Genomic DNA, 14,787 nt, shown 5'->3' with positions numbered 1-14,787 from the left:
TAATGATACTGTGGGTCCACCATCACTAGTTATAGCTATAACATTAGTGGCTATTTGTAAAATAATGTGTTCTACTTCAAAATTCTCTTTAGACATGACCTCCTTGACCATTGCATATGAAGGAATGCACTGGATAATAGGAACCACTCATCTGAATTTATAGCAATTAATTCATTTCCATTTTCATCATTGTTGCATTTTTATTGGTGACAGTTAATTTGGAAATTATGTAATTATATAGTCTTGAATTATATAATAAACTACTCTAATAATATAGTGCAGTCATTCAATCAGAACTCTCCAGAAAACCTGAAATTCATTTCTCATAGATTTCTTTCCAGCACAATTTTTGTTCTTAATCTTCCTGCTTTATTCTTATTACATCATAAGTCTTGAAGGACATGCTGAAAGTCTGTAGATGGGGGAAATCATCAGAGCATGGATTCACAGAAATTGTGTAAATTTTGGTTTGGTTTTCCATTGTTACATTTTTGTGCTGCCTGAATTTCTCTTTTAATTTGCAGTTTAAGCTACCAGAATATCTTATTGTTAGCACTCAACTTATATCTGTAAGTTTTATCTGGTTTTTATATTAAACAAAAGACAAACTAATTTTTTTTCTGAAATTGGCAGAAACTTATATTTTTCAAAAAGTTTTGTGACATTTGAAGTATTCTAAAAAAAATGTCAGAGTTTGCTAGGTTCTAGTTATATCAAGAAATTCTGGTCTATTTTAATACAGCCTGACCCCAGGTAGAGAATATTTTACAAATGAACTAAGGTAACACGTAGCATACCCAGACAGAAGTAAGCCTTGTTAAAATAGAATTCTGTTAAGGCAGCTTCTTCTCTGTTGTTCTCTATTCAAGACACTTAAATCTTGACTGTAACAGGACAGTATCTTCCCATCCTAGAAATCTGTGTGCTGTGCTCTCTGTGTGTGTGTGTCTGTGTGTGTGTGTGTGTGTGTGTGTGTGTGATGTGTAAGTATAACTGGAAGGATATAGTAACTTAAGGCTTTATAAAAGCAACAAAATATTTTGTTTAAAATGGCTGAATTCACACTCTCTTTAAAAAATGTTGCACATTTTATAATATATATTTATATACATTGAACTACTATTAAAGCTGTAACCTGCTACTTACTTTTAAATAAAGAACCAGCAAGAACACTTACTTGCAACTAAGAGTAGAGTTTTGGTCTGTGTTTTTCTGAGCTATTGAATCTTTCTCAGTTTTTAAAATATATTTCTCCAAATGCTTCCAGTTGGTCTGCGTATATTAGTCAGCGTGTGTAAGTGTTTATATACACACACTTGTTCTTTATTTATAATGAGCAAACGGTAATTTGCTCGTAGTTATTTTCTTAAGCAACAATTAAATTTAGCTACTTATTACATTTTATCATCCATGAAACTCACTGATGGACCCTTTTATCTGCCTCTCCACTCTGCCAGTTATTGTTCCTCAATAGGAAACAGATTCTCTCAACCTTGTTTTTTGAGTTTCCAACCCAAGTTTTTATAATGGTTTCCCTTTCTGTTTTTGAAAGTCATTATATATTGAAAGAAGAGCCAAAAATAAAATTAATAAAAAGACAAAATGACATCTGACCCAAAACCTTGGTAATTGACCCATTTCCTGGCCAAGTTGAACAAAACATAATTAGGATAGTCTTGCCACATCTGGTTCTTAATTCAGAGCCTCATCTGCGGGCTTATGAACCTATAGGGGAGGGTAGAGACCAACCGAGCTCTAATTGTGCTTTGTTAATGTAATCATTTAAATGATTCTTTTTCTAACGTATTATTTTCAATAGCCATTATATCTTTTTATGTTATGGTATAAATTGTTCTATTTTACCTCTCTGCCTTTGGAAGGGATGTTAAAATTTCAACAAGGGACATAAAAACTTACTGGTTTAAAAAAATCCTGAATATGTCCTGAATGGTATTGCCTAGGTTTTCTTCTAAGGTTTTTATGGTTTTAGGTCTAACGTTTAAGTCTTTAATCCATCTTGAATTAATTTTTGTGTAAGGTGTAAGGAAGGGATCCAGTTTCAGCTTTCTACATATGGCTAGCCAGTTTTCCCAGCACCATTTATTAAATAGGAAATCCTTTCCCCATTTCTTGTTTTTGTCAGGTTTGTCAAAGATCAGATAGTTGTAGATATGCGGCATTATTTCTGAGGGCTCTGTTCTGTTCCATTGGTCTATATCTCTTCAGGACATAGGCATGGGCAAGGACTTCATGTCTAAAACACCAAAAGCAATGGCAACAAAAGCCAAAATTGACAAATGGGATCTAATTAAACTAAAGAGCTTCTGCACAGCAAAAGATACTACCATCAGAGTGAACAGGCAACCTACAGAATGGGAGAAAATTTTTGCAATCTACTCATCTGACAAAGGGCTAATATCCAGAATCTACAATGAACTCAAACAAATTTGCAAGAAAAAACAAACAACCCCATCAACAAGTGGGCAAAGGATATGAACAGACACTTCTCAAAAGAAGACATATATGCAGACAAAAGACACATGAAAAAATGCTCATCATCACTGGCCAACAGAGAAATGCAAATCAAAACCACAATGAGATACCATCTCACACCAGTGAGAATGGCAATCATTAAAAAGTCAGGAAACAACAGGTGCTGGAGATGATGTGGAGAAATAGGAACACTTTTACACTGTTGGTGGGACTGTAAACTAGTTCAGCCACTGTGGAAGTCAGTGTGGTGATTCCTCAGGGATCTAGAACTAGAAATACCATTTGACCCAGCCATCCCATTACTGGATACATACCCAAAGGACTATAAAACATGTTGCTATAAAGACACATGCACACATATGTTTATTGCGGCACTATTCACAATAGCAGAGACTTGGAACCAACCCAAATGTCCAACAATGATAGACTGGATTAAGAAAATGTGGCACATATACACCATGGACTACTATGCAGCCATAAAAAATGATGAGTTCATGTCCTTTGTAGGGACATGGATGAAGCTGGAAACCATCATTCTCAGCAAACTATCACAAGGACAAAAAACCAAACACCGCATGTTCTCACTCATAGGTGGGAATTGAACAATGAGAACTCATGGACACAGGAAGGGGAACATCACACACTGGGGCCTGTTGTGGGGTGCGGGGAGTGGGGAGGAATAGCATTAGAGATATACCTAATGTTAAATGACGAGTTAATGGGTGCAGCACACCAACATGGCACATGTATACATTTGTAACAAACCTGCACATTGTGCACCTGTACCCTAAAACTTAAAGTATGATAAAAAAAAAATCCTGAATAATGTGTTACATTGTCTACCAAGCTTGAAGTTAGGCATTTGACAGAGCTAGCACATGTCTAGTGGATAGATATTCCGTTGAACCGGAAATCATGCTGAAGACCTTCAGGAAGTCACCTTAGTGACACTAAACACCAGTTCTTCCCTATAACTCTTTTAAAAAGTTGGGTGAAGGAGTAGAAAAGAGATCAATTTCGTCCACTGAGGTAGAGCCCCTTTACTGCTTGAGTTGGCTTTTCTTTTATTTATTTAGAATCAGAAGCATGCCCTAGAAAGTCAACTATGAATAAATAAAAGGGAAAAATTGCCTTATTTCTTCTTAATATCTTTTTTCACATTCTTTCTCCATCCTTTCCTCTTTTTTGTTTCTTCTCGTGCCTTTCTTGTACCTTTCTTCCTGTCCATTTTTCCCTTGCTGTGTCTTTTATTCCCTCCCTCATTTTTCTCCCTCCCTTCCTAAACTTTTAGTGAATTCTTCTTTTATACATTATAGAAAACTTGGAGATGTTACAAATAGTAGAAATACTTACAGACAGAAATTAACAAACTAATCAGATATTTCCTGCGACACTCTACTTTAAAACAACAATAAATGTATTCTGCCTTATCCCTGGATATTCATTATGGGATTTTCTCAGACCAGGCAACTGAAAGGATGATTTCTAAGGAAATATAGTACTCTTGCCTCACTTTAGTGGGCAGTAGCCCATGAGGCACCTGTTATGCTGTTATTATTGACATCATTGCTGCCTTTGTAACAGTATTAATTATAGGGTTTTGGGAAGGAAGATAGACATCTCTAAACAAGATGCTGAAAACTGAAAAGCAAATTTGGCTGGCAGTAGCTCTCCATTCTGTCTGCATACTGGAAACATTTAGGGAGCTTTTTAAAATACAGATGATTGAACCCCAACCCCGAACAATCAAAACAGAATAGATAGTAGGGTCTAGTATTGTATTTTTAGGCAATTCCCATCCAGGAAATTCCAATGTTCAGCCGTGGTTGCAAATCACTTGTATGGAGGAATTTGTAAGAAAGAAAAGGTAAACTCCATTAATTCCACAATTTTGAATTAATCCAAGATTAGAGCACCTTGTATCTCATTCAAGGTGGATTTTGTGTAGATGTAATGCAAGTGAAATAAAGGAGTGCATTGGTTCCCCCCTGTGGCCCCTAACATTCCTTCTAGAGACCCTTTGAATCTGTGTCTGAGGCTTTAGCTCAGAAACCATAGCTACCAGTGCAGCCAATGTTTAGGCACCTTCTTTCTCTCGTCGTTTTTGGGTGTTTCTTCCTTCCAGATGTTACTCTCCTCACACTGATGGGGCCTCAGACAGCGGCTTGTGGTAATGAACATAAATAGATTTAGGCTGGCCAAAGGGAGTCTGCAGAGATGATGGCTATAGCTCTTCAGAGTCTTGCAGAATAAATTGGGGCTTTAAAAGAAAAGAATAAGAGGAGAAACTAAAAAAAAAAATCTGTATCTGGAAGTCAGATTTAACTGGGGGTCTTGTATTCTTACTTGGTAAATCTGACAACCTTAGTCAAGGCACACACACACAAAAATAACAGGGTTTACAAATGTCCAGAATGTGAGGATAATAAAAAATAAGAACTCAAAGATTAAATATATGTGACCCCTATTAGACGAGTCTGGAAATTAGAGAACTTGACTTCCTTCTTTGAAAACCCAGCACCTATGTTTCCTTAAGAAAAAGAAGAGTGGAGCTTCTATTTTATGTTATTTCAGGCTTATGCTTAATGAGAGAAATTTGAGTTTCTATGCCTTTCCTGTGGCAATAGAAATTCACAAAAAAAGGGTTTCCCAGGAAGGCCACAGAGTTACCAGCTTATAGCCCAAGAGATCTCTGCAAAGACAGATGCTTTTGGTTCAAACAACAGTTGTAATCCCCAGACAGTGTTCTGTGCCAGGTCTGTGCTAACTTGTAAAGAAGCCTCCACACGTATAAAAACAGTCTTTTTCCACAACACAGCAGATTCCCTACCATAAGGTAACACAAATCTACTTCATTGCTGTAAGATCAGAGAAGTTTATAATAATTGAAAACCAGTATTGTATTTTATTTCATGGGGAAAATATGGGCTAGAATTGTGCTTCTTTAATCTACCTTCCCTGTGAGTAAGATTAGGCAATTCCCAAAGTCTTGTTTATAAATTAGTTAACTAACTGGTTTAATCTGTTTTCTAATAACCCCTAGTGGTTTCCAGTCAAATATGGCTCTTGGATGAAATCTATAATGTCAATTAACATATTTAAACAGAAGTCTATACCACTGCAGTTACTAAAAGAATTGTGGTAGGGCCAGGAATCGTTCTGAGCACATTCAAGGAAACAATTCCCTGTCCCCTTGGTAGGATTCTGCCATACTATTTTCCCCTTTAAATTAATCCTTTGGTCAAAAGCCAGAGATATACTCTGAGAATTTTATATTATTTTAGTATTCTATCCTGTAGAATGGCCATGGGACTGAAGACTAGGAAAATACAGTATATTAAAGGAATAGGCATTTGCATTCTCTCTCAGTGTCTCAATCAATAAATATTTGATACATATATTTGTTAAATGGTATTGATTGATTTCAGCAAGCATACAGGGCAGATGATTAGAAACATGCCCATTAGATACAGGCAGTCTTAGGTCAATAATTCTTGATTCCAAGATGTGGTTAGAGCCTTGGCTGGGTAATCCTAGGCAAGTCCTCATCTGTGAAATGGGGATGACATTTCAGCTTAATGATGGAGAATCGTTAGAAATGATGAATGATGATTCTATATGGAAGTTTGTGAATTGCTTGCTAAGTGTAATATACTGTTATCACCTCAGCGATTTAAAAAAAGTAAGGAAAACAAGGAAATAATGACACCCATACACACTAGCTCTTAGAAAGGTGAAGGGGAATGTGATGTTTCATGGTTTTAGTCCAGGTCTATAATCAAATTCTTGATACAGCCAAATTATATATTTGATCTTAAACTGCTAGCTATGATTTATCAAAATTTATTGGTTCTTATAGTTTAACACTTTAAAAAGCTAATATTTGATGCTCAATCTATAAATGTTAGCAAACACAGAAAAGTATGTAGAAATTAAAAATCTTAATTTGATCATCCTGACATAATATTAATACTTTCCTATGTTTTTATTTAGTCTTTTTATCCTGTGCACCTATGCAAGCATAAATATATATTTATATTTAGTTAATAATTCTATCATATCGTTTAATCTTTATGTGTTTTGTGTTTTTTATGGGTATGAGTTCATTTTTATAGAATTTTTATTTTTGGTTTTATTCCACATTATGAGGAAAATTTTATTTCTAAGATTAGACATTTAATAATATATTTTTCTATATTTTTTTATTGTTCAAATATTTTATTCTGATGAATCCCACAGCAATAGAGAGACCTGATAGCTTTTTTACAGCTGATAAAACTACTTTACAAACTTATTTCAAAATTTCTTCATGTTTGCATAGCGCAATGTACAAAATGTGGCAAGTATTTACCCAAATGTCCTTATTGATGGGAGGTACATTGATAAGGTATAACATAACTTTATGCTGACATATTGAGTGATACTTTCACCACCTCAGCTGTGACAGAGTTTGAAATAAACAGAATTTTCTAATATTCTAGAAGAGTGTGACAGATATGTCTTTAATCTCAGGGGAGTCAATATTGGAACTATATAAAATGGTATGAGCTTCTGCTATGTCTCTAGATTCCTAGGCCAGAAGAGATCACCAAAAGACAGGGGTATAGTTTCAGTTTGCTGTGTTCTATGGAATGATTCATTGAAATAACTCCCTCAAAGGAGTCACTTGAAATAGAGGGGGAAAAAAAAGATGATGTTGGAAGAAGACATGTCCTTGATTTGATGGCCAATGGAAAAAAAATCTCTATCTCTGCATTTATATTTATGTCATCTAATTTAAAACACTATGTGAATTTAAAGAAGTATCATTAGATAGAATAGTTTAATTCTTTTCAGCTTTTTACAATATAGACAGATAACATGAGATACATGAGAATATAGTGAATAATAGGGAAGGAGTTTGTAATTCAAAAGGAATGTACATTTTGAACTAAAAAAATGGGCCTGTCAAGCCATTCATATGGTGACTGCCAATCCTAAAATACAGAAACAAAATATAAACCCACACATATATCCCAAACTTTAAATGATGTATTTATTTTAAAACTACCTACCATATAAGCCAAAAGACAAATTTTTAAACTAATACCTGTGCTCTATTGTAACTGACATTTCGGCTATTCTATCTGACAACATTCTCTAAATTTTTGGTCATTGAAAATAAACCAATATAGAATCTGATCCCTGAGGCAGAAAGTAAAAAGAATGAGTAAATCAGGCTATAAAAAAACTAGATTTAAACTCAAGTTGATTTTAGCTTAACAGAAGACACACACACACACACACACACACACACACACACACACACGCATAGGTTCTTTATTTGAAAGTTTTATTAAAAGATTGACATTTGTAGTACCTAGAGTGAAAAATAAAATTTTACCAACCAGAGAGATAAAATTAAAAAGCAAAAGCAAAAGTAAGATTCATCATCCAACAATAACCAATATGCACTATGTACTAAGACAATGATAATGTACTTTAAGATAGACCATTTAAGGAAGTTCTTCTTGAGAAAGTAACTTTTACTGAGACTTAAAAGATGAGAAGGTAACTAAACTGAGACTTAAAGGATGAAAAGAATCAAAGTACTTCTCCCATTGCCTACAGTACCCTGTTTATTTTCTTTATAGCATTTAACTACAAATTGTGAGTATTATAATTGTTTGTCTGTAAAGTTTTTCTTTCTTCCTCATAAAATGTGAGGTCAGGGAGAGCAGGGGCCACCAACTTGAGTATGTGGGGATGATATTGGTGCGGGTGAGTCAGTGAATGTAAGATAGAAGAGTAAAAATCATGCAGGAGCTACTCCAGGTGTCTAGGTGAGATCATAGTTTTTCAGAATGTGTAGGCAGCATTCAGAATTAAAAGATGTAGACAGATTCAATATAATGTATTAGAGCTAAAACCAAAAGCAATTGCTGATAAATAGGATGTGGTAGGTGAGAAAAAGGGAAGTAAACAGGGTATCTCCAAGTTTTCTAGCTTAAGTAATTCAGTGTGTGGATGCCTTCTTCTCAGGCAGTAAGATTTGAGTAGGAGACAAGTTTGGGAATGAAATCAAGAGTTCCATTTTAGACATTTTAATTGAATATATCTATGAGTCAATCAAGTGACAGTAACAAACGTGGTTAAATATGTTTGTCTTGAGTACCACGTTTAGGGAGACTGGACCTGGCAGTTTATTTCCACAGTTATTTATTAAGCAAAAAACAAATATTCTCAAATAATGTCTCAGAAAACAATTATTCATTTACAACTCAAGAAGCTTTTAAAATTAGAGCAATAAATGAATATTAGAGAATTAACAAAAAATAGAAGATAAAATAGATAAAACTGGTATTTTATGATCCTGGGAACTGGTTTTAGAGGGGGTCTTTGCAGGTGAACGAAATAAATAGATATCTTGTGAACTCAGGGACCACGTTTACAGATGAAATGTTTAAAGCAAGAGAGTTCCTCCACTTCTAGGTATCCATGTAGGGTTGGAGAAAAAGAAACAGTACAAGAAGATATTTTACCATAGGGATCTGCAAGATGGAAGAGGCCTGTCCTTATCTAAATGTAAAACCTGTCATTTTTCCCACTCCTGACCTTCTCTCCTATTCCGATTCTTTAGCCAAATGAAACATATTCTTCTGGGTTACCTCACACATTATAGGGCAGGAGGTACTGAGGTCAAATAAATGGAGGGACACAGGGTAGGAGCAAATTGGTGACTGTTCTGCCCCTCCATTTATGACTCCCCAATCAGAAAGCCCTCTGTGTTTATGAATATGTGGAGTTAGTGGACGCGTGATGCTCTATGAGTTTGGGATATTGTTGTTAGGTAGCTGGTGACTCCTGACCTTATTCTGTTCCTTTGAACCAGAGGAAGAAAGTTAATCAAATGACTAGGTAACAAATTTTGACTGGACAAAGCTCGTGCTCTTTTATGTAGGGCATAATTAACCTATGAAAATCACTGTTGCTGGACAATATTAAGCAGGTAATTTAGGAAGACTCTAAAAGGGGATTGAACATTTATATGAATATAATTAACCAAGGCAGTTTTAGAACCTAGAATAACAGCCTATACATCCCTAAGTCTTGATTTAGGCAATAAGCTGCTTAACTCTCAGAGAAGAGCCAATCTGTACTGCCCACACCCACTATAGAAAATGAGCATCTTATACATTGAGCCTTATATCCTAAGCAGCCTTTGCTAAGAATGACTGGAGTTAGGAATCTCTGACTATAAGAATATTCTTCTTAACCAATAAACGGATATTACCATTTATTCATTAATTGCCCCTCTCAACATTTTGAAGTTGATATCTCATAAACACATCTATTAGCCTTTTCCAGGAAGATGATAAAAAGACTATCTGAATTTGGAGATTATAAAATTCTAGATAAATATTATTGTAATGTTTATCATGTTCCTAGTTCTGGCCACTAAGTAGAATCCACAGAATCCTAACTAAAACAATATTTTTTTCTGGAAAGGTAGGTTATAGGGGAGCTCTGAAAGAATCTAAAACTGTTACATAGGAATATAAAAAGCACAGACATTGATTTGAAAAAAAGATTTAAGGGCTATCAATTTATGAGAAACACATTTCTTAGAAGATATTTTGCTGTGTGGGGACAGGACACATAGTTGCACTTATTCTGCCTGACCATATTTAAGTTGAGCCATTAAAGATGCTATTGCCTCATCCAGCTGTTTTAGGACAATTAGCCATGTGACAGCCAGATGGGAGAATAAGATGGCAACAGCCATTTCAGCACAGGCATATGTCTCTTCTTTGTTGAAAAAAAAGGGGCAAAAACAAGGCCAAGTGAACAATGCTAGTAGAATACATTAAGTTATCTTCCTTCAGTGTTGTTCATTGGTTTGGCTGCAATCTAAATCATCTTCCATCAGAGACAAGAGAGTGACAAGTCTTGACTGTTTTAATATTGTTTAAAGATTGATTAATTGAGCATCCTAGGTAATTTGAATTTAAATTAGTAAAAGTAATGATCCTTAATTTTTAAAGTTCTTGATGAATCACAAACTCTCATTAGCTTTAAAAGATTAGGGCTGAAGGTGAAAGTCTTTTGAAAACTGCTAAATAAATATTATTTTGCAGTGTTACTTCACCAGAGCTGAAATAGAAGTTATTATTCAAACGTTTATTTTGCTTTAAAATATCATACAAGCAAACATGTATTTTTAATTTTGCTTTCATCGTTTAAAACAAAAGTTCAAATCCAGGACACCCTGAAGAACAAGGGTGCAGTGGGTTCCTTTCTCATTGCCATTTCCCTGACTGGCAAATTCCCAAATTGGCCCTACGTGATGACTCCTTGTCCTGTCCATTTTAGGATTTTCATCCAGCCTAATAAAGAAAAAGCCTTTTATAAGTCTCTGCTCTAGCCATATGAGTACTTTGTAATGGATGTGGAAAGGCAGCAGCCCATCTCAGTAGACATCGACAAGGCAGTAAATAAATTTTCCACTCTGGGCCTCTGCCAAAAGCAGTCATCATTCTGCAGTCCCTGCTCTCCTGGCCAAGGAAAGTCACACAGAGCATTTGTCTCAGTCTCTAGATTATTATACAGGGAGGGCAAAGAAAGTAGAATAAAGAGAGGAGGGCGTACGTAACCTTGAGCCTGGAAATTCACCCCTGAAGGGTGTGGAAGGAGGGTAGGGAAAGTTAGAAAAGATTCTCTAACTTCAATATCTGTTTGTCAGACTGCACTGCAGAATTTTCAAAATGGTATTCCACAATCCCTTTGGATTGGTTGTATTTTTCAGCCTTTTCAATACTATGCATTTTATGATTTGTCTCTCATCTATTTCAGTTTTTACTCTGTTTTTTCAATCTTAGTAATGCTTCCATTTCTTATAAACTATTTCTCAAGCTTTCTCTGAAGGTTTGATCTGCCCTACCAGCCCAGACCTTTAATTTTTTTCTTAATTAATTTTTCCCCTATGTTTTTCCCTGAGGATGTAAAGAATTCACTCTTGCTTTCTGAGAATAGGAAGAGTAGACTCGTAAAACATGTGGTCTCAGTGTGTGAAGTGAATGGCATTTTTATCCTCTAGTCAAATCAGCTTCAGTGATTTTGCAATGTATAATATGGCTGTAGCACTTCTAATGCATGGAGACATTAATATCACCGATGGACCCATCAGGCACAGAAAAGTCAAAATCCTCTGCCCTGGATGTTGCCTTGTATGCCTTGGGTGAAGGGCTTCTCTTGCCTCAGCTGAAACCAAGTTTTATAGAATATGGATATGGATCATCAAATGAGATTTTTACAGTACAGTAAAGTGTGAATCTAATTGCAGCCAGAGCCAAAAAAAAAACAAACAAACAACAACAACAAAAAAAACAAACTGTAGCACAGAGGTGGTTTCAGGCAAGAAATAAAAGAGCCAACCTGGGTATGTTCATAAAGTGCTAGCCAGCCACGAGACCATTAGGATCAGGGAGCCCCAGGGTATCATAGTTGTACAGAAATGCTCAGGTGATACCCAAGGGCATTTAATTACATTATTCTAATTTGTATTATTAATGACAATATTAAAGCACAGGCAGACAGTTTGGTGGAAAATTTAGAAGAATCAAAGATGGCATAAATATTCATTTTCCCTCATCTCATCATTTTGCAAAAATACATACAGCCAGCCATTCACTTAATCACAGGCCCATACCCCAGTCTTCATCAACCACAGATAGGGCAACATGCCCTTAGGAACAGGACTCAGCAGATATTTGCATCTTGGCAATGCCACTCTCTTCCCTGCGGAGTAGTTATTCTGCCAGGTTGAGAATATTGCCCCTGATGTTTGGTGTCTCTTAAAATCAAGCCTAAACATGTAGGCTGAGTGAAGGAGCCAGGGAGAGAGGTATACCTGTTTTTGGCACTTCTTCCTCCATGCTCAAGGAGAATCTCAATACATACTAGAATAAATAAATGAATGATAAATTAAGCAAATGTATAAATGAACTGTAAAGTCATTTGCTGGAGGAACTTTTCGGAAAAAACAATTTGCTTAACTCTCACATGAATAAATGCAGGCCAGGGCCAGGCTACCATTCAAAAAGCTGAGTTCAGGTTTTCTGCATTTCCTTTCCAGTCAGATAAATGAATTGGGCCGGTGGTCCTTGAGAGGTCCAGAGAGACACCAGGTTAAAATAATTTTATTTCTGTGGTGTAACCTGGCCAATATTTTTGAATGTGGTGAATAAGACATTTGACATTAAAACAAGTATTCTATATATTTCAGTAAAAAATGGTATTTCGATATAAAATTGCAGCTGGGAAGGGAAAAAGAGAGGAAGATAAGCCTGCAGCAGGAAGAGAGGAATCCTCGTCTCACTGTTAGTGTCAGGTTTTCGTAAGGAGACTGCTTCATAATGACACAACTGGAAAGCAACCAGATGCCAACCCTAAATCTCAGCTTTATTTCAGGGAAGAGAACTTATATTTTCTTTTTCTTTTCTTTTCTTTTTTTTTTTGAGACAGAATCACTCTGTCACCCAGGCTGCGGTGCAGTGGCACAATCTCAGCTCACTGCAACCTCTGCCTCCTGGGTTCAAGCAATTCTCCTGCCTCAGCCTCCCAAGTAGCTGGGACTACAGGCACCCGCCACCATGCCTGGCTAATTTTGTTGTATTTTTAGTAGAGACAAGGTTTCATTACGTTGGCCAGGCTGGTCTTGAACTCCTGACTTCATGATCCACTCGCCTCAGCCTCCCAAAGTGCTGGGATTACAGGTGTGAGCCACCACGCCTGGCCAAGTCCTTGTATTTTTCAAAAAACCTTAACACTACAGATATTAAGAAAATTACATTCACTGTGGTAAATTAGCTCATCCTTGGTTTGTGTCTGAAAAAAGTCTTTGAAGTGATAAAAAGAGGTAGAAAGGAAAACTATCAGAGAGTTAAGACAAGAGTGAGAAAGAAAGAGTAAAGTTGAAAAGGAAAATAGGGAAAGAAATAAGAGCAAATTAGAGAAACATCAAATTATTATTATCTAAAAGAGAAAGGCTGAAAAGTGTGGAAAGAATAATGTGAAGGAGATGGAGGCCATTTTTGTTATAGAAATTCAGAGAAGTGGAGATGAACGTGAAGATGAATGAGCAGAGAAATGTGTTTAGGCAGTTAAAAGGGAAAATAATAATAACAAAATAATAACTTAGTGCATACTCTGGGCCAGGTCTCAATGTAAGCACCTTATATATAGCTATTTATTTAATACTCAAAACAAGACCATTATAATAGTAATGGATCCTATTATCATCCAGATTTCAGAGGTAAGGAAACCAAAACAAACAAAAAAACAAACAAAACAAGTTAACCAATTTGCTAGGATCACAAGTTGGAGGAAAACTTGGGGTTAAAACCCAGAGGGTCTGTTTTCAGAACTGTGGAATATTGTAGTATTCCACCTCCCACGATATAAGCAAGAAGGGGAACAGAGACAAGTACAGAACAAGGGAACTACAAGGACTTTATGTTTGGTTTTGATAGAAAAAATATGTTCTTAGGCTTGAAATGAATGCCATCAGCCCTCAGCAGCCTTGCAGCAGAAAGCAGAGGCTTAGTCTGTTGGCAGCAGTGAGGGAAATGGATAAATAATTGATTAGGCACAGCGTGCTCTGTGTGTGCAGATCTATAGAGAGGAGAGGGGTCCAAGAGGCAGAGCCAGATGGCGAGCTGTAATGTGCCCATATTAATAGATGTCTTCATTAGATGACATATTTGCAGGAGTCCAGGACGAGTGCCTTTCAGCCTTTGCCAGACACAGACAAGGTCTAGAGATGAAGGTGACATTACGTGGAAGACAATGGAAGTGGCAGGTCAGGTGCAAAGGAAATAGAGACATAGAGGTTTCCTTGTTGCAGTAAGAGAAATAGCTTATATTACAAAGGCAGTCACTACTCTGTGAGTCCATCTCCAAATATATGAAATAACAAGGCTCTCCTATCCACCTCCACCTCCATTCTGTATTTCTGATACAAATCTCTACTACTCACTGTATTTCTGTTCTCAAGTGCATCACTGCTTTCCATTTTCTCTACCAATTACAGCTTCTCCCCTCTCTGTCCTCCCATGACTTTCCATTAAAGGCCCTTATCAAACTTCTTCCTGGACATTGACTGCCTGGCCACATCCTCCTTCACTTTCTTTGATAATATTATTGTACTTAGTAGCAATTGCTAGTAGACTGGTCTTATATTAATGGATAGCTGATGGTCAGCTCAAAATTGTTAAGCAAATGTTGAGTCTGAAACTTTTATAGTATATGTGAAAT

Source organism: Homo sapiens, chromosome 3 (assembly GCF_000001405.40).
Source record: "Homo sapiens chromosome 3, GRCh38.p14 Primary Assembly".
In the NCBI taxonomy this organism is placed as follows: Eukaryota; Metazoa; Chordata; class Mammalia; order Primates; family Hominidae; genus Homo; species Homo sapiens.
The sequence above is the reverse complement of the archived record's forward strand: the minus strand, read 5'-3'. Positions refer to the sequence as shown.